This window comes from Homo sapiens, chromosome 18, assembly GCF_000001405.40.
Source record: "Homo sapiens chromosome 18, GRCh38.p14 Primary Assembly".
In the NCBI taxonomy this organism is placed as follows: Eukaryota; Metazoa; Chordata; class Mammalia; order Primates; family Hominidae; genus Homo; species Homo sapiens.
Window position 1 is genome coordinate 26,224,937 of NC_000018.10, and position 21,890 is coordinate 26,246,826.

At 44.5% G+C, this 21,890-nt stretch overlaps 1 protein-coding gene across 7 annotated transcripts in view, besides 5 other annotated features; it reads left to right on the forward strand.

Moving 5' to 3' along the window:
• Window positions 1,139-1,208: an enhancer, noted in NCBI's record as "active region_13181". NCBI's record gives its function as "activates an Ori minimal core promoter by ATAC-STARR-seq in GM12878 lymphoblastoid cells {active_cell/tissue: GM12878}" and the evidence as "EXISTENCE:reporter gene assay evidence [ECO:0000049][PMID:35858748]".
• Window positions 1,239-1,338: an enhancer, noted in NCBI's record as "active region_13182". NCBI's record gives its function as "activates an Ori minimal core promoter by ATAC-STARR-seq in GM12878 lymphoblastoid cells {active_cell/tissue: GM12878}" and the evidence as "EXISTENCE:reporter gene assay evidence [ECO:0000049][PMID:35858748]".
• The window catches only part of TAF4B (TATA-box binding protein associated factor 4b), a 165,241-nt gene continuing 144,859 nt past the window's right edge, over window positions 1,509-21,890 (forward strand). For all 7 annotated transcript variants that reach the window (NR_121653.2, NM_001293725.2, XM_024451239.2 and 4 more), the window contains exon 1: window positions 1,509-2,340. Coding sequence is in view for 6 of the 7 variants with exons in the window: in NM_001293725.2 (NP_001280654.1) it covers window positions 1,998-2,340 (343 nt within the window). In the remaining variant the exon portion in view is untranslated. The remainder of the gene's footprint in view (window positions 2,341-21,890) is intronic.
• Window positions 1,989-2,148: a silencer, noted in NCBI's record as "silent region_9371". NCBI's record gives its function as "represses an Ori minimal core promoter by ATAC-STARR-seq in GM12878 lymphoblastoid cells {active_cell/tissue: GM12878}" and the evidence as "EXISTENCE:reporter gene assay evidence [ECO:0000049][PMID:35858748]".
• Window positions 7,173-7,368: a silencer, noted in NCBI's record as "fragment chr18:23812073-23812268 (GRCh37/hg19 assembly coordinates)". NCBI's record gives its function as "represses an EF-1alpha promoter that drives an FKBP-Casp9 reporter gene in an ReSE screen in phorbol 12-myristate 13-acetate-treated (for megakaryocytic differentiation) K562 erythroleukemia cells {active_cell/tissue: K562(+PMA)}" and the evidence as "EXISTENCE:reporter gene assay evidence [ECO:0000049][PMID:32094911]".
• Window positions 19,899-20,257: a silencer, noted in NCBI's record as "fragment chr18:23824799-23825157 (GRCh37/hg19 assembly coordinates)". NCBI's record gives its function as "represses an EF-1alpha promoter that drives an FKBP-Casp9 reporter gene in an ReSE screen in K562 erythroleukemia cells {active_cell/tissue: K562}" and the evidence as "EXISTENCE:reporter gene assay evidence [ECO:0000049][PMID:32094911]".

The following is a 21,890-nucleotide window of genomic DNA, read 5'->3' on the forward strand; positions in this document are numbered from 1 at the left end:
TGTCCCATAATTCCAGAGGTTGGGAAGTTCAAGATCAAGGCAGATGTGGTATCTGATGAGAGTCTACTTTCTAGACAGCAGTCTTTTTACCATAACCTCACTTGCTGGAAGGGGTGAGGGATCTTTCTGAGGTTTCTTTTTTTAAAAAAATTATTTATTTAATGTATTTAACTAACAAATAATAATTGTATGTATTTATGAGGTATCATGTTACATTTGTATGTGTCGTGAAATAATTAAATCAAGTTAACATATTCATCACTTTAACATGATTTGTCCTGAATGGAATCCCATTCATGAGGGCTCCACCCTTATGATCTAATCACCTTTCAAAGGCCCAACCTTCTAATATTATCAACTCCAGCTTTAGCATTTTAACACTCAGTTGGGGGTATAATCCTAGCACTTTGGGAGGCCCAGGCGGGAGCTCAGGAATTGGAGACCAGCCTGGACAATATAACGAGATCCCGTTTTTGCTAGGCATAGTGCCGCTCCCCTGTGGTTCCAGCTACTCGGGAATCTGAGGTAGGAGGGTAGGATGATCACTTGAGCCCAGGAGGTGGAGGCTGCAATGAGCCAATGGTGCCACTGCACTCCAGCCTGGGTGACAGAGTTAGATCCTGTTTCCAAAACAAAACAAAACAAAACAAAACAAAACAAAACACCACAACATTCAGATCATAGCATCTGCCTACTTGTAAAATCGCCTTTCAGTGCAGTGTTGGTTCCTACAAACATACAATATAATGACTTTAGCTTGAAATTAAGGCATCTTCTCTGACTGCATTACAAACAGGCAAGTTTTTTCATATCGATTCACTCAACACCTTTTATTTATCCAGATAATATCTAGGATCACGCTTAATATCTAAGTGCTAGAATCTAATTATATAGATATCAAAAGGCATTAAGTTTTTCAGAAGACAGACATACAATTTTAATGTTTAGAGGTGATAGAGACACCTATAGCAGCACCAAAGAAGAAACGATTTTCCATTTAAGATTTTAGGCAGTTTAACTCTAAAATATGAAAATAGGCACATCTCACAGACTATAAAACTATACGCCATTTTAATTTTTACAATGTCAATTCTAACTGCGAATTTTAGCAACGCTTCAGTGTGAAGACAGCAGAGAAAAACACTGAAAATGCGTGATTGAATTCTTATTGAGTCACTCTTCTCGGAAATCAGTCCTCCCCATTTTCTCCTTAAAAAATAGAATCCTGGAGATAGTCTAGTGCTGGCTTTTCGAGGAACACACTACAGGGGACACAAGGAGAGGAACACGGATGCCGCAGTTTTCCAAGTGCAGCTTGCCCCTCCCACGTGATAGGTTTCTGGCATCGCCCCTCCTTGCTGGCGATTCTGGGGAAGATTTTAACGCTCCCTGGAGCCGTCCCCAGTGACGTCACGGGCGCGGCTCCGCTCCTTGGCCAATCACGCGGCCGGATCCCGGGGAAACCCGGGGCGGTGGCGGCGGCCTGGGCGCGTGCGCGAGGTCTCCGCGTGGCTATATAAACATGGCTGGCGTGGCCGCGCGGCGGGGCCGTGCCAATCGCGCGTAGGGGGCTGTGGGCACTCGGGGTTCGTAGTTTTGAAATTTCTGGCGGGGGAGCAGCTGCGCAGTTAGGCTCGAGGTGTGAGCGACGACCTTCCGGGAGCCGCAAGTCCAGGCTCCCCCGCAGCGGGACCCGAGCCTGAGGCGCAGGGCTGAGGCAGCGCACGTGTGAGCGCCGCTGAGGAAGCTGCGAGAGGTCGGGCGGGTGTCGCTCCGGGGGCAGCCCAGGCTCGCGCGGACGAGAGGAAGGTCCGGGACGCGCGTGTCCTGCCGTGCAGCGGGCGCCCGTCACTGACTTCGCTGCTGCGGCCCCCGCGCCTCTCCCCAGCGATGCTGTGGAACCCGAACCGCACCGGAGTCGGCTGCCGCGCGCCAAGCCTCCCCTCACCTCTGCTCCCGGAACCGCAGCGCCAAAGCTGCCGCTGAGCCCCTGGGGGATGCCCGCCGGCCTCACCGAACCCGCCGGCGCCGCTCCCCCGGCTGCTGTGAGCGCCTCGGGGACCGTGACCATGGCCCCGGCCGGGGCGCTGCCGGTGCGGGTGGAGAGCACTCCGGTGGCCCTGGGCGCCGTGACTAAGGCTCCTGTCAGCGTCTGCGTGGAGCCCACGGCGTCCCAGCCCCTGCGGTCCCCCGTGGGGACCCTGGTGACCAAAGTGGCTCCGGTCAGCGCCCCTCCTAAAGTCAGCAGCGGCCCTAGGCTGCCTGCTCCTCAGATAGTCGCCGTGAAAGCCCCCAACACCACGACAATCCAGTTTCCTGCTAATTTGCAGCTTCCTCCAGGTATGTTGATAACCCTTTCCAGCCTTGTCTGTCGGTCCAGCTGGCGGCGACGGGAAAATTCGCAGCTCCAGATTGCTCCTAAAAAAACTGAGCCACGGGAACATTTCATAATCTTGACTTTACAGTTAACATATTCTTTTTGTGTCATTACTACATAGTTTTTCTTTTCATATTTAAGGAAAGAATCTTTTCACCTAAGTGATACAGTAAAAAGCTACATCAGCGTATTCGGGGGGGCTTTCAGGCACTGGCTCTTAGGTGGAGGAGATAATATAGCCGAAGTTAATTTCCATGTGGAGGATGGACCGGTTTATACCGTGGATTTCCATACGCTTAGATTATGTAGAAGTGCGTTGTACTTATTTTATTAATTATGAATGAATGAATGAACGAATGAGGTATGGTTTCGCTCTGTCGCCCAGTCTGGAGTGCAGTGACACGATCATGGCTCACCGACGTCGAACTCCTGGGCCCAATCGATCCTCCCGCCTCGGCCTCCCAAAGTGCTGGGATTACAGGCGTGAGCCACCGCGTACGGCCTAACAGTGAAGTTCTTGTGTATTACAACTGAAAGAGATTTTTAAATTTAACCAAGTCAGAATCGGTTTACTGCTTTCTAGTACCAAGTACGAATAATGCTGTTCCTGCACAATCTTTAAATGTCTTATGATTCTAACTTTCAATTAGCAGAACCCCTGACTGGGAACACGTGCCACAGTTGACAAACAGATCAGTCATGCAATTGTTACAGTTGCAATTGAAGCCATGTGTCAACGCTACTGTTAATGAGTCTTTCACTACTTTCTATCCTAGGGCTTTTTACTCTATTGGGCTGTATTTCATGGTTTGTATAAAGGTTTTGCTTTGTGATAATTTACATATTGTAAATATGCTGAATGATTTTGGGGTGTTCAGCCTTTCTTTACTGAAAGTCTCTTGGAGTTTGCTTTCTGTTAATTTTGTTTAGCAGTAATTGGAACTCTGAACTGCAAAGATGGTAAAAAAGGGGAAGCATTGATTCAAAAGATTCTATATCCCCTAATAAAATGACAGGGACCCTTTTTGTATCTAATGTTGTAGTTAGTCATACACGTTGTGGATAGATTTCACTTTTTATGAAGTTCTGTTTCAGTTTTATATGGTATACAAGGTATGTAAAATTGTTAAGGCACTGTTACGGCAGTGTGCAGCACCGAATACATTATTTGGCAGTTCTAAATTGTTATTCTGAGTTGTTATTCTGCATATATGTTTATAAAGTAGTTCTGAATGTGTTAGAATGAAATTACCCCCTAATTTGTTAAACTGTAAATCCTGTCTAGTCACTGAAGTTTGTTTATAAATAGTCAAAAAAAAAAAGTATTAAGAAAGAACTGTCTGAGAGGCTAAGGCACGAGAATCGCTTGAACCCGGGAGGTGGAGGTTGCAGTAAGCCAAGATATCTTGCCACTGCACTCCAGCCCAGGCAACAGAGTGAGACTCTGTTCCTCCCCATCCCTCCCCAACCCCCCAAAGAAAGAACTGTCAAGAGTGAAAATTTGCTGGTAAGTGAGAGTGAATCACTTACTGGAGGATTGGGGCCTTATCATGCTAAGCACTTTTAACAAATTATTTATATTCTTTTATTTGTTGGTCATAATAGGTAGGTAGCAAATAAGGAAAGAGGTCTCTAAGAGTAAATAATTTGTCCAATGCCAGGCAACCCATAGGTGTCGGGGGAGTTTTAGCTCAGGTCTGTTTATTCTTTCCACAACGCTATGCTTATTTTTTTACTTGTATGTGTACGGTATGCCTCATTGAGTGTCAGTACTGAAAGGTGATTCAGAGAACTTTAGATTCCAGTCTTTTATTTTATATACCAAGGAACCAAAACTGAAACTTGGCAGAGTTAAAATAATAGCATACTAGGACCATAGTCTAATTATGTTCCTAGCACTGTATTAAAACATTGCATGCTATTTACCTCTGAGAAACCCATACAAAAGAGAGAAAGAAGATAAGTTGTCTTTAGGAATTGGTCGTTATAGAGGAAGTGGGGATTTGCTTTTGGGAATTTTCTGCTGACGTGTGGCAGAAGGGTGTACTAACTACATTTGTGCTCTTATTGGATAGAATAAGATAACCAATAGTTGAAGAATAAAATGGAAACACTGATTAAAGTAACTTTTTAAAAAGGTTATGAATCTTATACTATTTCTTTTATATCTTTCTTTCTTTCTTTTTTTTTTTTTTTTTTCTTTCTCTGAGACGGAGTGTCACTCTGTTGCCCAGGCTGGGGTGCAGTGGCATAATCTCGGCTCACTGCAACCTCCGCCTCCCGGGTTCAAGCAATTCTCCCGTCTCAGCCTCCCGAGTAGCTGGGATTACAGGCACACGCCACCATGCTCGGCTAAATTTTGTATTTTTAGTAGAGATGGGGTTTCACCATGTTGGCCAGGCTGGTCTCGAACTCCTGACCTCAAGTGATCAGCCTGCTTCGGTCTCTCAGAGTGCTGGGATTACAGGCGTTAGCCACTGCGCTGGCCTGAATCTTGTACTATTTCCTTTGCATACCAAGAATTAGCACTTGATTACACAAGGGTGCTTATATATGTCAGTTCTTCATTTTTCAAGATAATGAATACTTTAAGTATTTGATTCTCTTTACTTCAGAGTTTCATCTATGAACAGAACTGGTTTAAAAAAAAAATATATATATATATACACACACACACACACATATACATATATATGCACCACAGGTTTTTCTAGGGAGCAGGAGCTTGAAATAAAAAGAATGCACAAGAGAATATTTGAGGAAATATTAATAAAAGGTTTTCAGTAATTTCTTCAGTCTTTTGTGAACATGTGGGGTTTTAGGCTGAACTGTGGTTCTTCTTGATATTCTTCATCTTGTCTATCACCTGTTTGAGAATGATAAGCAAGGACTTGATTCCTTCTTTTAGGTCATAAACTGGGATAAATTCTGCATGACAGTCATACTGTACAAAAGTGTGAAAGTTACTTATGAAGCAGTGAGGTCCCTTTTCATCAGCCTGTTTTCATGCTGAGACAGGGCATAGAATTTGCATCTCCTTTCCCAACTTCTTGATCCAGTCCTTGGATAAGTTCTTTGTTTCCACTCTGGCTTTATCAAAGGGATACAGTGTACATGATCATCACTTCCACAGTTGTCACAGTGCTGCTGGGCTTTGTGAAATGAGGGGTATTCTTTTCAGTGTTCACCATACACCATCCACTGTTTGATTTTCAGACTGTAGAGTTGGCGTAAAGTGATAGTGGCCATGGCATTACTCTGTCGGTAGTCAGCCCACAGGAGAAAGTGCTGGTGCTCCTCTCCTGCGGATCTTCCTCAAGGTGAGGTTAGGTTCTCCTGTTACGTGTTTCCATTTGGATGCCGTGCTTTCACTCTCATAGTACTCCCACACTTTGTTTTCTTTTTGATTACAAGGTCCTTTTTGATTACAAGTCCCTGCTTCTGTAATCAGGGACTCTATGTCGCTATTATCTATCCTCAGGGCCTAGTGAGTTGTGCACGAAGGCGCTCAAGTATTTGAATGTAGGCATATATGGAGAGAGTAGGGGGCAATAGGGCTGCAGCCCCTAAGGGATTCTGAGGGTCATCACACATATCAGTGTGTTGAGTTTTGATTTCTTTGCTTATTCTACTTACAAAAGCAGTATATGTTCATGTGAAAATCACTAAAATGTAATTTCCTCTTCAAAGTAATTGACAAACTTGTGGTGTGTTGTTTTGCTTTTTTTTTTTTTTTTTTTTTTTTTGATGGATTTTGCCCTTGTTGCCCAGGCTGGAGTGCAATGGTGCAATCTTGGCTCACCACAACCTTTGCCTCCCGGGTTCAAGCGATTGTCCTGTCTCAGCCTCCTGAGTACCTGGGATTACAGGCATGCGCCACCACCCTTGGCTAATTTTTGTTGTATTTTTAGTAGAGATGAGGTTTCTCCATGTTGGTCAGGCTGGTCTTGAACTCCCAGCCTCAGGTGATCCGCCCACCTTGGCCTCCCAAAATGCTGGGATTACAGATGTGAGCCACCCAGCTGCTTGGGGTTTTTTTTTTTTTTTTTTTTTTTTGGAGACAGAGTCTCACTCTGTTGCCCAGGTTGGAGTACAGTGGCATGATCTCAGCTCACTGCAACCTCTGCCTCCTGGGTTCAAGCAATTCTCATGTCTCAGCCTCCAAGTAGCTGAGATTACAGGTGTGTGCCACCACACCAGGCTAATTTTTTTCTTTTTAGTAAAGACAGGGTTTTGCTAAGTTGGCCAGGCTGATCTTTGAACTCCTGGCCTCAAGTGATCTGCTGATCTCAGCCTCCCAAAGTGCTGAGACTGCAGGCATGAGCCACTGTGCCCCGTCTATTGTGTCTTTTAAGTATTAGTGTGTCCAGAGTTGGTTCCTTCTGGTGGGTTTGTGGTCTTGCTGACTTCAAGAATGAAGCCGTGACCTTGGCGGTGAGTGTTATAGCTCTTAAAGATGGCACAGACCCAAAGAGTGAGCGGTAGCAAGGTTTATTGTGAAGAGCAAAAGAACAAAGCTTCCACAGTGTGGAAGGGGACCTGAGCGGGTTGTTGCTGCTGGCTGGAGTGGCCAGCTTTTATCCCCTTATTGGCCCCTCCCACGTTCTGTTTCTTTCCTATCCGAGTGCACTTTTTTCAGTTCTCCCTGTGATTGGCTACTTTTAGGATCCTGCTGATTGGTGCATTTTACAGAGCGCTGATTGGTGCATTTTATAGAGCGCTGATTGGTGCATTTTACAGAGTGCTGGTTGGTGCATTTTAGAATCTTCTTGCTAGCTACAGAGCACTGATTGGTGTGTTTTTACAGAGTGCTGATTGGTGCATTTTACAATCCTCTCGTAAGACAGAAAAGTTCTCCAAGTCTGCAGTCAACCCAGGAAGTCCAGCTGGCTTCACCTCTCAATCTCCCCCCACCCCCGTCTAAACAGGACACCCCAGCTGCTGTTGGGAATTGGGTGATGACCGCTCTAGTTACTTCTTGCTGGATAGGGGCGAAGAAGGGGCCCTGCAGTTGTAGTGTCCTCTGGAGGTGAATTCTCTAGGCCAGTCAAAGGGCCAGTGGGTTGGTCCAGGGGTCCTCAGTAGAAGTTGTGAGTTGAGCTCATTTGGGGTGCCATTTGTAAGACCATCTGTAGCTTGATGGCCTCGATCCTGAAGGAAACAAATTTGACAAGGAGATTAAAAACACAGGGCCTGAAGGCGAGTAATAGCAAGATGGCTGTCACAGGACCTAGAAAGGGGAGAAGCCATGTCGCCCAACTCCAGAGGTTGGGATGAGTTTGAAAGCCATTGTCTGATTTCAGAAGCCTTTTCCTATAAACACCTGGTGGCATCTCGTACTATCCCTGACTGGTTAGTATAAAAGCAACACTCTTCCCCTAAGAAGGTACAAAGTCCTCCTTTCTCAGCAGTGAGGAGGTCTAGGCCTCAGCGGTTTTGGAGAGTCACTGCTGCCAAACAGTCTATTTGGGATTGTAGAGTAAGGATAGATTTTGTTATTTCTTGCAAACTGTCTGAGAAATCCTTTGAGAGTGTGTGGTAGTAGGATAATGAAGTAGATAAACTGGCTATTCTGGTTCCTGTAGTGGTGGCCATTCCTAACCCTATAAGTAGTGGTATTAGTTGTATGGCCCTGCGCTGATGGACTTGAGCTTTGAGGGGCACTGATAGGGTCTGATTTCCTGGGGCAATGTCAATGTTGGGACTTAGGAAGACTAAGGTGCAGGTGCCTGTCTAGTTGGTGGGGAGGCAGATATAGGTTGAAGTTCCACATAAGAAGAATATGGCTTCGCTGGGTAGACAGAACTGGTTGTGTATGTTAAAAAGGTGTGTGAATTTGTTGTTTTCATTTTCCCATACTCCTAAAGTACTTGCCAAGGTAGCTCTGGTGAGCGGCTGGGAAGGGGTGTTGGGAGCAAACTGAGTGGCTCTCTGTGTTCTATTTTCCCATTGGAGAAAAAACCGTTTTGTATCTACTAGGAAGCATTCAAGAAAGTAATTGAAAGAAGGGAGGAGAAGGCATTCACTAGCGGTGGGGGCGCTGCTGCAGGGGGTCCAGAGGTGAATGGTCATGCAGGGAGTATGTTTGCCATGACAAAACCCGGACTGTTTGTTAAGCAGGGAGGAAGTGATGATTTTTGGAGGCCCTGTGAAGCAGACAGGCCATCTGAATGGAGCTGTTTGGGTGACTCAGAAGTTACTATGATCAGTTGGGGCTTGAAGTTGTAGGGTGTAATTATGCTGATGGGATAGTAGGTGCCCCAGGGGCAGGCCTGATAACAGGTTGCGCTGCATGCATAAAGGGGCTTGGGAAGTTAAGACGGTTTCATGGTTACAGGGCTGTGTATGGGCTTTTCATTGCTCGTGAATTATTTCATGAATTAGGACTTAAACCACTTCCTCAGCCCTCTCTGTCTTGCAGGGGAAGGCTTCTATCCAATTTATAAAGGTATGAACACAGACCAACAAGTATTGAAATCCCCTTGACTTAGGCATATGGGTGAAGTCTAACTGCCAGTCCTCTCCGTGATAGTGCCCTATTCTTTGTTCCCCCAGAGGGGCCTTACGATGGACCAAGGGATTATTCCTTTGGCACACTTCACAGGTTTTGACTACTTGCTGGATGGTGTGGAGGAGATTTGGCCCTGTAAATAGGGATATGGCCATTTGATGAATGTTCTCAATACCTATATGAAAAGTTTGGTGGAGGGTCTTAAGTATTTTCCACTGACTGACTTTGGGTATGAGTACCTTTCCCTCTTCTGTTGTTAACCACCCCGAGGGGAGAAAAATATGCCCCCGTGAAAGTCCCCATTCTGTTTCAGTCAGGGAATACTGGGGGTTAATCTCTTGGAGAGGGTTGTTCCATACCAAGGGTTCCTCCATAGGTATTCCTAATGGGAGATTCTGCCTGGCAGCAATTTTGGCCTCAGCGTCTGCCTGACGGTTTCCTTCTGCCTTTTCTCCTTCACCTTTTTGATGGCTTTGGCAGTGTAAGACTGCCACCTCCTTGGGTTTTTGCACTGTGTGCAATAACTTCATGATTTCCTTGAGGTATTTAATGGGGGTTCTCCCAGAGGTTGGGAACTCCCTTTCTTTCCGTATTGCAGCATGGGCATGTAGGATTAGATAAACATACTTGCTATCTGTATACACATTTATTCTTTTTTCCTTTCCCAGTTCTAAGGCTCGGGTAAGTGCCACTAGTTCTGCTAACTGGGTGCTGGTCCCTGGGGGAAGAGGCTTACTTTCAAGTACTGTTACATCACTAACTATGGCATAACCTGCCCTTTGTATCCCATTCTCCACAAATGGACTTTCATCGATATATAGGTTAAGGTCAGGATTAGCTAAGGGGACTTCTAAGAGATCCTCTTGGGTGGCGTAAGTCTGGGTCACAATTTGTTGGCAGTCATGCTCGATTGGTTCTCCATCCTCTAGGAGAAAAGTAGCAGGGTTGAGGGCTGCACAAGTACATATTTGAAGCACCGGTCCCTTAAGGAGTAGCGCCTGGTATCTAAGCAGGCAGTTGTCTGATAGCCATAAACTTCCTTTGGCACGTAGTGTGCCATTTACATCATGAGTAGTCCAGACAGTGAGATCCTTTCCTTGTGTTATTTTGATACCCTCTGATACTAAGATGGCCACCGCTGCAACTACCCGTAAACAGTGAGGCCAGTCTTTTACTACTACATCAATTTCCTTACTTAGGTATGCCACTGGTTATGGGGTTGTCCCATGAGTTAGAGTAAGTGCTCCAAGAGCTATTCCCACTCTCTGTGGCGTATAAAGAGAAGTTTTGTCCTGTGGGAAGGCTTAAGGCTGGAGCTTGTACTAGGGCCTGCTTTAAGGTTTTGAAGGTTGTTTTTGCCTCTGGTTCCCATTCTACTAGATACAGTATTTGCCCTCTGGGTCTCCTTGATTAGCATATAGAGTGGCCTGGCCATCTTGCTGTAGCCAGAGATCCATAGTTGGCAAAAGCTGGTGATCCCAAGGAACCCCCGCAACTGTTTTAATGTCATAGGGCAAGGATAAGCCAGTATAGGTTGTATTTGTTCCTTGCTGAGGGCCCTGGTTCCTCTGGCTAAGATTAGGCGTAGATATTTGACTTGTTATAGGCAGAGCTGGGCCTTCAATTTAGACGCCTTGTACCCTTGATTAGCTAGAAAGTTCAAGAGATCTAGAGTAGCCTGCTGGCATGAGGCTTCCAAACTGGTATCCAAAAGTAAATCATCCACATACTGAAGGACCAGAGTGCCTGGACTTGAGAAGTGGCCTAGATCTTGGGCCAGTGGCTGATCAAACAGATGAGGGCTATCCCTAAACCCTTGAGGCAAGACTGTCGATGTGGGATGTGTGGTCTGTGGGATCCTCAAAGGCAAAGAGAAACTGAGAGTCAGAGTGCAGGGGAGTGCAGAAGAAGGCATCCTTGAGGTCCAGAGCAGTGAACCATTCTGCTTCTTCTGGTATTTGAGAGAGCAGGGTATAGGGGTTGGGTACAACTGGATATAGAGGAATTACTGCCTCATTGATGAGTCTAAGATCTTGCACCAGTCTCCACTGACTGTTTGGTTTTTGTACTCCTAGAATTGGGGTGTTGCAGGGACTGCTGCATTTTCTTACTAAGCCTTGAGCTTTTAAATGTCTAACAATATCCTGTAATCCTTTAAGAGCTTCAGGCCTTAAGGGATATTGCCTTTGATAAGGAAAAGTGGTGGGGTCTTTTAGCCTGATTTGGACTGAGTGGGCATTTTTAGTCCTTCCAATGCCCAGACTTCAGGGTTGATTCCCTCCTCAACTAGGGGACAACAAATGGGTAACTTGTTATTCATGCAAATAATAACTCCAGCTTTGGCTAATATCTCCCTCCCTCATAAGGGTGTAGGACTTTCAGGCATAACAAGAAAGGCACGTGAAAAGAGCAAAGTCTCCCAATTACAACTGAGAAGGTGGGAGAAATACCTGGTTACAGGCTGTCCCAGGATTCTTAGGATGGTAATGGACCTTGAGGACGGCTGTCTGGGGCAGGAGATTAACACTGAGAAGGCCGCGCTGGTGACCAGGAGGAAGTCAATTTCCTGGCCCTCAATGGTTAAACTTACCTGGGGCTCAGTGAGGATGATGACATGAGCTGGTGCTTGCCCTGAGCACCCTCAGTCCTGTTGTTGGATCATCTGGTCGGGGGCCTCTGGCTCAGAGAACCTTTGTTTTCTAGGGCAGGGTGCCTTCCAGGGATTGCCCTGGCATAGTGGACATGGGTGAGGGGGCGCTTGTTTCTCACTGGACAGTCTTTTTTAAAGTGTCCTTGCAAACCACACTAATAACAAGCCCTACCGGGTTATTGCCCTGCTCCATTTTCTGTCCTCTCTGAACCATCAAGGTTTGTTTGTCTGAGGGCCATGACTAAGGCTGCGGCCTTTCTCTTACCTTGCTTTTCCTTTTCGTCCTGTTCCTCTCGGTCCCTATTATAGAACACTGAGGTTGCCAGGTTTAATAATGCCTCCAGATTTTGTTCAGGGCCCAGGGCTCACTTTTAGAGCTTTCTCCTGATATCTGCAGCTGATTGCATAATAAACTTATCTTTGAGGATCAATTAACCCTCAAGGGTGTCGGGTGACAGGGGAGTATATTTTCTTAAGGCCTCCCGTAGCCGCTGGAGCAAGGCAGTAAGATTTTCTTCCTTTCCCTGAGTTATGGTGGACATCATTGAATAATTCATGGGCTTTTTCCTAATTCTCCTTAGTCCTTCTAGAACACAGGTCAACAGATGTTTGTGACTCCAGTCCCCATGATCTGAGTCTGGGTCCCAGTGGGGATCCGTACTAGGGATGGCTTGCTGACTGGTAGTGAATTTATCCCTTTCTTTGGCTGTTATTCTGTCATTTACTTGACTAAGAGACCAGGTATCTTCGAACTCTTGGGCTGCAGCTAAAGCCACATTCTTCTCATTAAAGGCCAGGGTTTGATCTAACAATAGCAAGACATCTCTCCAAGTGAGGTTGAAGGTTTGCCCTAGACCCTGTAGGACATCTATATACCTATCAGGATTATCTGAAAACTTCCCCAGGTCTACCTTGATCTGCTTTAAATCAGAGAGGTAGAAGGGACATGTATCCAGGTTGGGCCAAATTTCCCTTCCCCTACAGCTTGAAGGGGATGTAACCGATAGCCTGGGGTTTTTTTTGTGGTCCCTTGGAGATTTCTTGCTTGTTTCCTTCTGGGTGGGGGAGATTAGAGGAGGCTTATCATTAATAGGAAGGGGAGCTGTAGGGAAGCTAGGATATGGAGGTAAGCTGAGAGGTCCTCCTGTGGGATGTAGATTGCAAGCTTTGCATAGTTGTGAATTATCCTTCAATGAAAAGAAAGCTTGGACGTAAGATACCTCACTCCATTTGCCTTCCCTCTTACAGAAAAGGTCAAACTGCAGGATAGTATTGTAATTTATACTTCCCTCAGTTGGCCATTTTTCCCCATCAGAGAGAGAATACTGGGGCCAGGCCATAGTGCAGAAAAAATAAGCTGCTTCTTTTTCAGGTTTTTTGGGTCAAATTGGTCCCAGGGGCTTAGGATACATTTCAAGGGTGAGCCTGTTGATGCCTGAGCGTTTCCCATCAGAAAAGAGAAAACTGCCTGTGGTTTTTTACCCCTGCCGAAGAACCTGCAACGGTCCGTGGACCCTGCTGTTCAGAATAGTTGTGCTCACCAAAGCAGCAGCAGAAACAATAGTTTTCCTCCTAGACCACAAAGAGGACCAAGGAATGTCAGATTTAGTGGCCCTTACTGACGCATTCTCGAAAACCTGTACCTTTGCCTTTCCTCTTAGCTCACAAAGAGGACCAAGAAAAATCGGATTTAGTGGGCCTTATTGACACATTTTCGAAAACCTGTTAGAGTCCTAAGCATTTTCTCCTGTTGGTATTGGGACCTTACTCTTGTCCTATAAAGCTGATGTGCCTCAAAATGGAGTGGAGGGCCATACCCTGAGGAAGGGAAGGGATCTCCAGGGTTGGAAGAGTGATGCCTTTTGTCCTCACTTCTTATCATATGAATAGGAAGGATATAATTTCTGAGGCTCCCCATATCCTAGCTTCGGGAATAGCCTTTGTTAGGCCTGCTAGTCTGAGGAGGGATCCTAAAATTCCAGATAGTCCCCACTCTGCAGTCGGGCTTTGGGCAAAAATTATGTCTGATTGGTGAGCCCGGGTGCCTAAAGAAGGAAACAGAGTCCTGAAATTTATTTATTTATTTTTTTATAAGTAATGAACTAATATTTATACCTTTTTTTTTTAAATTATACTTTAAGTTCTAGGGTACATGTGCACAATGTGCAGGTTTGTTACATATGTATACATGTGCCATGTTGGTGTGCTGCACCCATTAACTCATCATTTACATTAGGTATATCTCCTAATGCTGTCCGTCCCCCTTCCTCCCACCCCACGACAGGCCCCAGTGTGTGATGTTCCCCACCCTGTGTCCAAGTGTTCTCATTGTTCAATTCTCACCTATGAGATAGAACATGCGGTGTTTGGTTTTCAGTCCTTGCAGTAGATTGCTAAGAATGATGGTTTCCAGCTTCATCCATGTCCCTACAAAGGACATGAACTCATCCTTTTTTATGGCTGCATAGTATTCCATAGTGTATATGTGCCACATTTTCTTAATCCAGTCTATCATTGATGGACATTTGGGTTGGTTCCAAGTCTTTGCTATTGTGAATAGTGCTGCAGTAAACACACATGTGCGTGTGTCTTTATAGCAGCATGATTTATAGTCCTTTGGGTATATACCCAGTAATGGGATGGCTGGGTCAAATGGTATTTCTAGTTCTAGATCCTTGAGGAATTGCCACACTGTCTTCCACAATGGTTGAACTAGTTTGCATTCCCACCAACAGTGTAAAAGTGTTCCTATTTCTCCACATCCTCTCCAGCACCTGTTGTTTCCTGACTTTTTAATGATTGCCATTCTAACTGGTGTGAGATGGTATCTCATTGTGGTTTCGATTTGCATTTGTCTGATGGCCAGTGATGATGAGCATTTTTTCATGTGTCTTTTGGCTGCATAAATGTCTTCTTTTGAGAAGTGTCTGTTCATATCCTTCACCCACTTTTTGATGGGGTTTGTTTTTTTCTTGTAAATTTGTTTGAGTTCTCTGTAGATTCTGGATATTAGCCCTTTGTCAGATGGGTAGATTGTAAAAATTTTCTCCCACTCTGTAGGTTGCCTGTTCACTCTGATGGTAGTTTCTTATGCTGTGCAGAAGCTCTTTAGTTTAATAAGATCCCATTTGTCAATTTTGGCTTTTGTTGCCATTGCTTTTGGTGTTTTAGTCATGAAGTCCTTGCCCATGCCTATGTCCTGAATGGTATTGCCTAGGTTTTCTTCTAGAGTTTTCATGGTTTTAGGTCTAACATTTAAGTCTTTAATCCATCTTGAATTAAGTTTTATATAAGGTGTAAGGAAGGGATCCAGTTTCAGCTTTCTACATATGGCTAGCCAGTTTTCCCAGCACCATTTATTAAATAGGGACTCCTTTCCCCATTTCTTGTTTTTGTCAGGTTTGTCAGAGATCAGATGGTTGTAGATGTGTGGTACTATTTCTGAGGGCTCTGTTCTGTTCCATTGGTCTATATCTCTGTTTTGGTACCAGTACCATGCTGTTTTGGTTACTATAGCCTTGTAGTATAGTTTGAAGTCAGGTAGCGTGATGCCTCCAGCTTTGTTCTTTTGGCTTATGATTGTCTTGGCAATGCTGGCTCTTTTTTGGTTCCATATGAACTTTAAAGTAGTTTTTTCCAATTCTGTGAAGAAAGTCATTGGTAGCTTGATGGGGATGGCATTGAATCTATAAGTTACCTTGGGCAGTATGGCCATTTTCATGATATTGATTCTTCCTATCCATGAGCATGGAATGTTCTTCCATTTGTGTCCTCTTTTATTTCATTGAGCAGTGGTTTGTAGTTCTCCTTGAAGAGGTCCTTCACGTCCCTTGTAAGTTGGATTCCTAGGTATTTTATTCTCTTTGAAGCAATTGTGAATGGGAGTTCCCTCAGGATTTGGCTCTCTGTTTGTCTGTTATTGGTGTATAGGAATGCTTGTGATTTTTGCACATTGGTTTTGTATCCTGAGACTTTGCTGAAGTTGCTTGTCAGCTTAAGGAGATTTTGGGCTGAGACAATGGGGTTTTCTAAATATACAATCATGTCATCTGCAAACAGGGACAATTTGACTTCCTCTTTTCCTAATTGAATACCCTTTCTTTCTTTCTCCTGCCTGATTGCCCTGGCCAGAACTTCCAACACTATGTTGAATAGGAGTGGTGAGAGAGGGCATCCCTGTCTTGTGCCAGTTTTCAAAGGGAATGCTTCCAGTTTTTGTACATTCAGTATGATATTGGCTGTGAGTTTGTCATAAATAGCTCTTATTATTTTGAGATACGTCACATCAATACCTAACTTATTGAGAGTTTTTAGCATGAAGGGCTGTTGAAGTTTGTCAAAGGCCTTTTCCACATCTATTGAGATAATCATGTGGTTTTTGTCTTTGGTTCTGTTTATATACTGGATTACGTTTATTGATTTTCATATGTTGAACCAGCCTTGCATCCCAGGGATGAAGCCAACTTGATCATGGTGGAAAACCTTTTGATGTGCTGCTGGATTCGGTTTGCCAGTATTTTATTGAGGATTTTTGTATCGATGTTCATCAGGGGTATTGGTCTAAAATTCTCTTTTTTGGTTGTGTCTCTGCCAGGCTTTGGTATCAGGATGGTATTGGCCTCATAAAATGAGTTAGGGAGGATTCCTTCTTTTTCTGTTGATTGGAATAGTTTCAGAAGGAATGGTAGCAGCTCCCATTTGTACCTCTGGTAGAATTCGGCTGTGAATCCATCTGGTCCTGGAGTATTTTTGGTTGGTAGGCTATTAATTATTGCCTCAATTTCAGAGCCTGTTAATGGTCTACTCAGGGATTCAACTTCTTCCTGGTTTAGTCTTGGGAGGGTGTATGTGTCCAGGAATTTATGCATTTCTTCTAGATTTTTTAGTTTATTTGCGTAGAGGAGTTTATAGTATTCTCTGATGGTAGTTTGTATTTCTGTGGGGTTGATGGTGATATCCCCATTATCATTTTTTATTGCATCTATTTGATTCTTCTCTCTTTTCTTCTTTATTAGTCTTGCTAGCGGACTATTAATTTTGTTGATCTTTTCAAAAAACCAGCTCCTGGATTCTTTGATTTTTTTGAAGGGTTTTTTGTGTCTCTATCTCCTTCAGTTCTGCTCTGATCTTAGTTATTTCTTGCCTTCTGCTAGCTTTTGAATGTGTTTGCTCTTGCTTCTCTAGTTCTTTTAATTGTGATGTTAGGGTGTCAATTTTAGATCTTTCCTGCTTTCTCTTATGGGAATTTAGTGCTATAAATTTCCCTCTACACACTGCTTTAAATGTTCCCAGAGATTCTGGTATGTTGTGTCTTTGTTCTCATTGGTTTCAAAGAACATCTTTATTTCTGCCTTCATTTCGTTATGTATCCAGTAGTCATTCAGGAGCAGGTTGTTCAGTTTCCATGTAGTTGAGCGGTTTTGAGTGAGTTTCTTAATCCTGAGTTCTAGTTTGATTGCCCTGTGGTCTGAGAGGCAGTTTGTTATAATTTCTGTTCTTTCACATTTGCTGGGGAGTGCTTTACTTCGAACTATGTGGTCAATTTTGGAATAAGTGCTACGTGGTGCTGAGAAGAATGTATATTCTGTTGATTTGGGGTGGAGAGTTCTGTAGATGTCTATTAGGCCTGCTTGGTGCAGAGCTGAGTTCAAGTCCTGGATATCCTTGTTAACTTTCTGTCTCGTTGATCTGTCTAATGTTGACAGTGGGGTGTTAAAGTCTCCCATTATTATTGTGTGGGATTCTAAGTCTCTTTGTAGGTCTCTAAGGACTTGCTTTATGAATCTGGGTGCTCCTGTATTGGGTGCATATATATTTAGGATAGTTAGCTCTTCTTGTTGAATTGATACCTTTACCATTATGTAATGGCCTCCTTTTCTCTTTTGATCTTTGTTGGTTTAAAGTCTGTTTTATTAGAGACTAGGATTGCAACCCTTGCCTTTTTTCGTTTTCCATTTGCTTGGTAGATCTTCCTCCATCCCTTTATTTTGAGCCTATGTGTGTCTCTGCACGTGAGATGGGTCTCCTGAATACAGCACACTGATGGGTCTTGACTCTTTATCCAGTTTGCCAGTCTGTGTCTTTTAATTGGAACATTTAGCCCATTTACATTTAAGGTTAATATTGTTATGTGTGAATTTGATCCTGTCATTATGATGTAAGCTGGTTATTTTGCTCGTTAGTTGATGCAGTTTCTTCCTAGCATCGATGGTCTTTACAATTTGGCATGTTTTTGCAGTGGCTGATACTGGTTGTTCCTTGCTGTGTTTAGTGCTTCCTTCAGGAGCTCTTGTAAGGCAGGCCTGGTGGTGACAAAATCTCTCAGCATTTGTTTGTCTGTAAAGGATTTTATTTCTCCTTCACTTATGAAGCTTAGTTTGGCTGGATATGAAATTCTGACTTGAAAATTCTTTCTTTAAGAATGTTGAATATTGGCCCCCACTGTCTTCTGGCTTGTAGAGTTTCTGCCAAGATATCTGCTGTTAGTCTGATGGGCTTCCCCTTGTAGGTAACCTGACCTTTCTCTCTGGCTGCCCTTAATATTTTTTCCTTCATTTCAACTTTGGTGAATCTGACAATTATGTGTCTTGCAGTTGCTCTTCTCGAGGAGTATCTTTGTGGCGTTCTCTGTATTTCCTGAATTTGAATGTTGGCCTGCCTTGCTAGGTTGGGGAAGTTCTCCTGGTTAATATCCTGCAGAGTGTTTTCCAACTTGGTTCCATTCTCCCCATCACTTTCAGGTACACCAATCAGATGTAGATTTGGTCTTTTTACATAGTCCCATATTTCCTGGAGGCTTTGTTTATTTTTTTTTATTCTTTTTTCTCTAAACTTCTCTTCTTGCTTCATTTAATTCATTTGATCTTCAATCACTGATACCCTTTCTTCCAGTTGATCGAATCGGCTACTGAAGCTTGTGCATCACGTAGTTCTCGTGCCATGGTTTTCAGCTCCCTCAGGTCATTTAAGGTCTTTTCTACACTGTTTATTCTAGTTAGTCATTCGTCTAATCTTTTTTCAAGTTTTTAGCTTCTTTGCAGTGGGTTCAAACATCCTCCTTTAGCTCAGAGAAGTGTGTTATTACTGGTCGTCTGAAGCCTTCTTCTCTCAACTCATCAAAGTCATTCTCCGTCCAGCTTCGTTCCATTGCTGGTGAGGAGCTGCGTTCCTTTGGAGGAGAAAAGGCGCTCTGAATTTTAGAATTTTCAGCTTTTCTGCTCTGGTTTCTTTCCATCTTTGTGGTTTTGTCTACCTTTGGTCTTTGATGATGGTGATGTACAGATGGGGTTTTGGTGTGGGTGTCCTTTCTGTTAGTTTTCCTTCTAACAGTCAGGACCCTCAGCTGCAGGTCTGTTGGAGTTTGCAGAAGGTCCACTCCAGACCCTGTTTGGCTGGGTATCACCAGTGGAGGCTGCAGTACAGCAAATATTGCAGAACAGCAAATGTTGCTGCCTGATCTTTCCTCTGGAAGCTTCGTCTCAGAGGGGCACCTGGCTGTATGAGGTGTCAGTTGGCCCCTACTGGGAGATGCCTCCCAGTTAGGCTACTCTGGCATCAGGGACCCACTTGAGGAGGCAGTCTATCCAATCTCAAACTCCGTGCTGGGAGAATCACTACCCTCTTCAAAGCTGTCCGACAGGGATGTTTATGTCTGCAGAAGTTTCTGCTGCCTTTTGTTCAGTTATGCCCTGCCCCCAGAGGTGGAGTCTACAGAGACAGGAAGGCCTCCTTGAGCTGCAGTGGGCTCCACCCAGTTCAAGCTCCCCGCCACTTTGTTTACCTATTCAAGCCTCCGCAATGGCGGACCCCTCTCCCCCAGCCTCACTGCCGCCTTGCAGTTTGATCTCAGACTGCTGTGCTAGCAGTGAGCGAGGTTCTGTGGGCGTGGGACCCTCTGAGCCAGGCGCGTGATATAATCTCCTTGTGTGCTATTTGCTAAGACCATTGGAAAAGTGCAGTATTAGGATGGGAGTGTCCTGATTTTCCAGGTACTGTCTGTCACGGCTTCCCTTGGCTAGTAAAGGCAATTCCCTGACCCCCTTGTGCTTCCTGGGTGAGGCGATGCCCCCGCAGCTTTGGCTCACACTCCGTGGGCTGCACCCACTGTCCAACAAGTCCCAGTTAGATGAACCCAGTACCTCAGTTGGGGATGCAGCAATCACCGGTCTTCTGTGTCACTTATGCTGGGAGCTGTAGACTGGAGCTGTTCCTATTCGGCCATCTTGGAACCTCCCCCCGAAATTTATACTAGAAATTATCCTTATAAGAGAAACTAGAAGAGCAACAGGGACAGGGAGTGGTTTTTAGGAGTGGGAGTAGCCTTGGAGAAGAGAGGTGGGAGGAAGTTTGTCTGACAGGCATTAGGACGCAGGAGGCAAGTTTCAGGATAGATAGGATAGATGGGTGAGTCTCGCTTGGGCGACATAACTTTGAGAGTTCCGCTCACTGCTGCAGGGTCAACCAACTTTTTGTCGGGACCCCAGAGCTGAATGTCTTTCCTCTCTGTCGACCCTTGGCTCAGCCCAGAAGTATAGGAAAAGTGGAAGCTGGTTCCAGGCAAACCAACGCTCCGAACTCCAAAGAGTCTGGGGTTGTTAGAGAGCCCTTTCCCAGAAAGCCTGACACCCGTGTCTTTAGTCTGGCGGCCATGCTAGTCATTTTTAACAGGCCAACAGGTGCCCAGTATTTAGCCCCCAAATTCTAAGGAAAAATAGGACAGAATAGCAAGCAAAAGGGGTCCGATGGTCCTTATCACGTGGCGATATCCTGAACAAGCCCCCAAGATGTGTCCAGAGTTGGTTCCTTCCAGCAGGTTTGTGGTCTCGCTGACTTCAAGAATGAAGCTGCAGACCTTCGTGGTGAGTGTTAGAGCTCTTACAGATGGCACGGACCCAAAGAGTGAGTGGTAGCAAGGTTTACTGTGAAGAGCGATAGAACAAAGCTTCCACAGTGTGGAAGGGGACCCAAGTGGGTTGCTGCTGCTGGCTGGGGTGGCCAGCTTTTGTTCCCTTATTGGCCCCTCCCATGTTCCATTTCTGTCCTATCAGAGTGCCCTTTTTTCAATCTTCCCTGTGATTGGCCACTTTTAGGATCCTGCTGATTGGTGCATTTTACAGAGCACTGATTGGTGCATTTTACAAAACGCTGATTGGTGCATTTTACAGAGCGCTGATTGGTGATTTTTAGAATGCTCTTGCTGTCTGCAGAGTGCTGATTGATGCGTTTTTACAGAGCACTGATGGTTGCATTTTACAATCCTCTTGTAAGACAGAAAAGTTCTCCAAGTCCGCACTCGACCCAGGAAGTCCAGCTGGCTTCACCTCTCATTAGTACCTATAAATGCTTCATTTTTTCAACTGCATTGTAGTCCACTGTATTGACATAACATTGTTTTTTGACCACTTGCCTATTCGCAGGCGTTGATACTGTTTGCACTACTTTCTGCTGTTAAAAATGATGCTGTGATAAACATCTTTGCATGTGTATTTTTGTGCAGTTTGGAAACGTGGATTTTTATAGGATAAATTGCTAGAAGTGGAATTGTTGGTTCAAATGGTAATATTTCAATCGGCATTGCTAAATTTTACTCCCCAAAAATTGTTTAAATATGTAATCAACAGTATTAATACTTAATTTTAGAAAACTACCCATGGAATCTAAGAAGTCATTTTTCAGACATTAATTAATGGTAAGAATATATGAGCATTGAAATTGAGGGGGAAGGTAGGATTTCAATATAGAGAAATGTAGGCTGGATGATAATACCAGTGTATGGGTTTGTTACTTACTGAATGACTATGTCTAAGAAGGCTCTTGTTACCTTGTAGTAAACTAGGTATATGATACATAGTTGTCTAGAAAGTTCAGTCCGAGACCACAGAATAAGGCCTAGATGGTATGCCAATCAAGTTTGTAGATAATAATGGGCTTGTAGGGTTGGCTTTTTGTGGAATGTAATAGAGTGTAGCAACATAGGAGAGAACATTGGTCCTGGAGTTTGAATCCCAGCTCTACCACTTGATAGCTTTGTAATCTAGGCAAGTTATTAATCTCATTGTTTTTGTGGTTTTTTTTTTCTGGATGGAGTCTCACTCTGTCGCCCACGCTGGAGTGCAGTGGCGCGATCTCAGCTCACTGCAACCTCCACCTCCCAGGTTCAAGCCATTCTCCTGCCTCAGCCTCCCAAGTAGCTGGGACAACAGGTGTGTGCCACCACACCTGGCTAATTTTTTATTTTTAGTAGAGATGGGGCTTCACAATATTGGCCAGGCTGGTCTCAAACTCCTGACCTCAGGTGATCTGCTGGCCTTGGCCTCCCAAAGTGTTGGCATTACAGGCGTGAGCCACCGCAC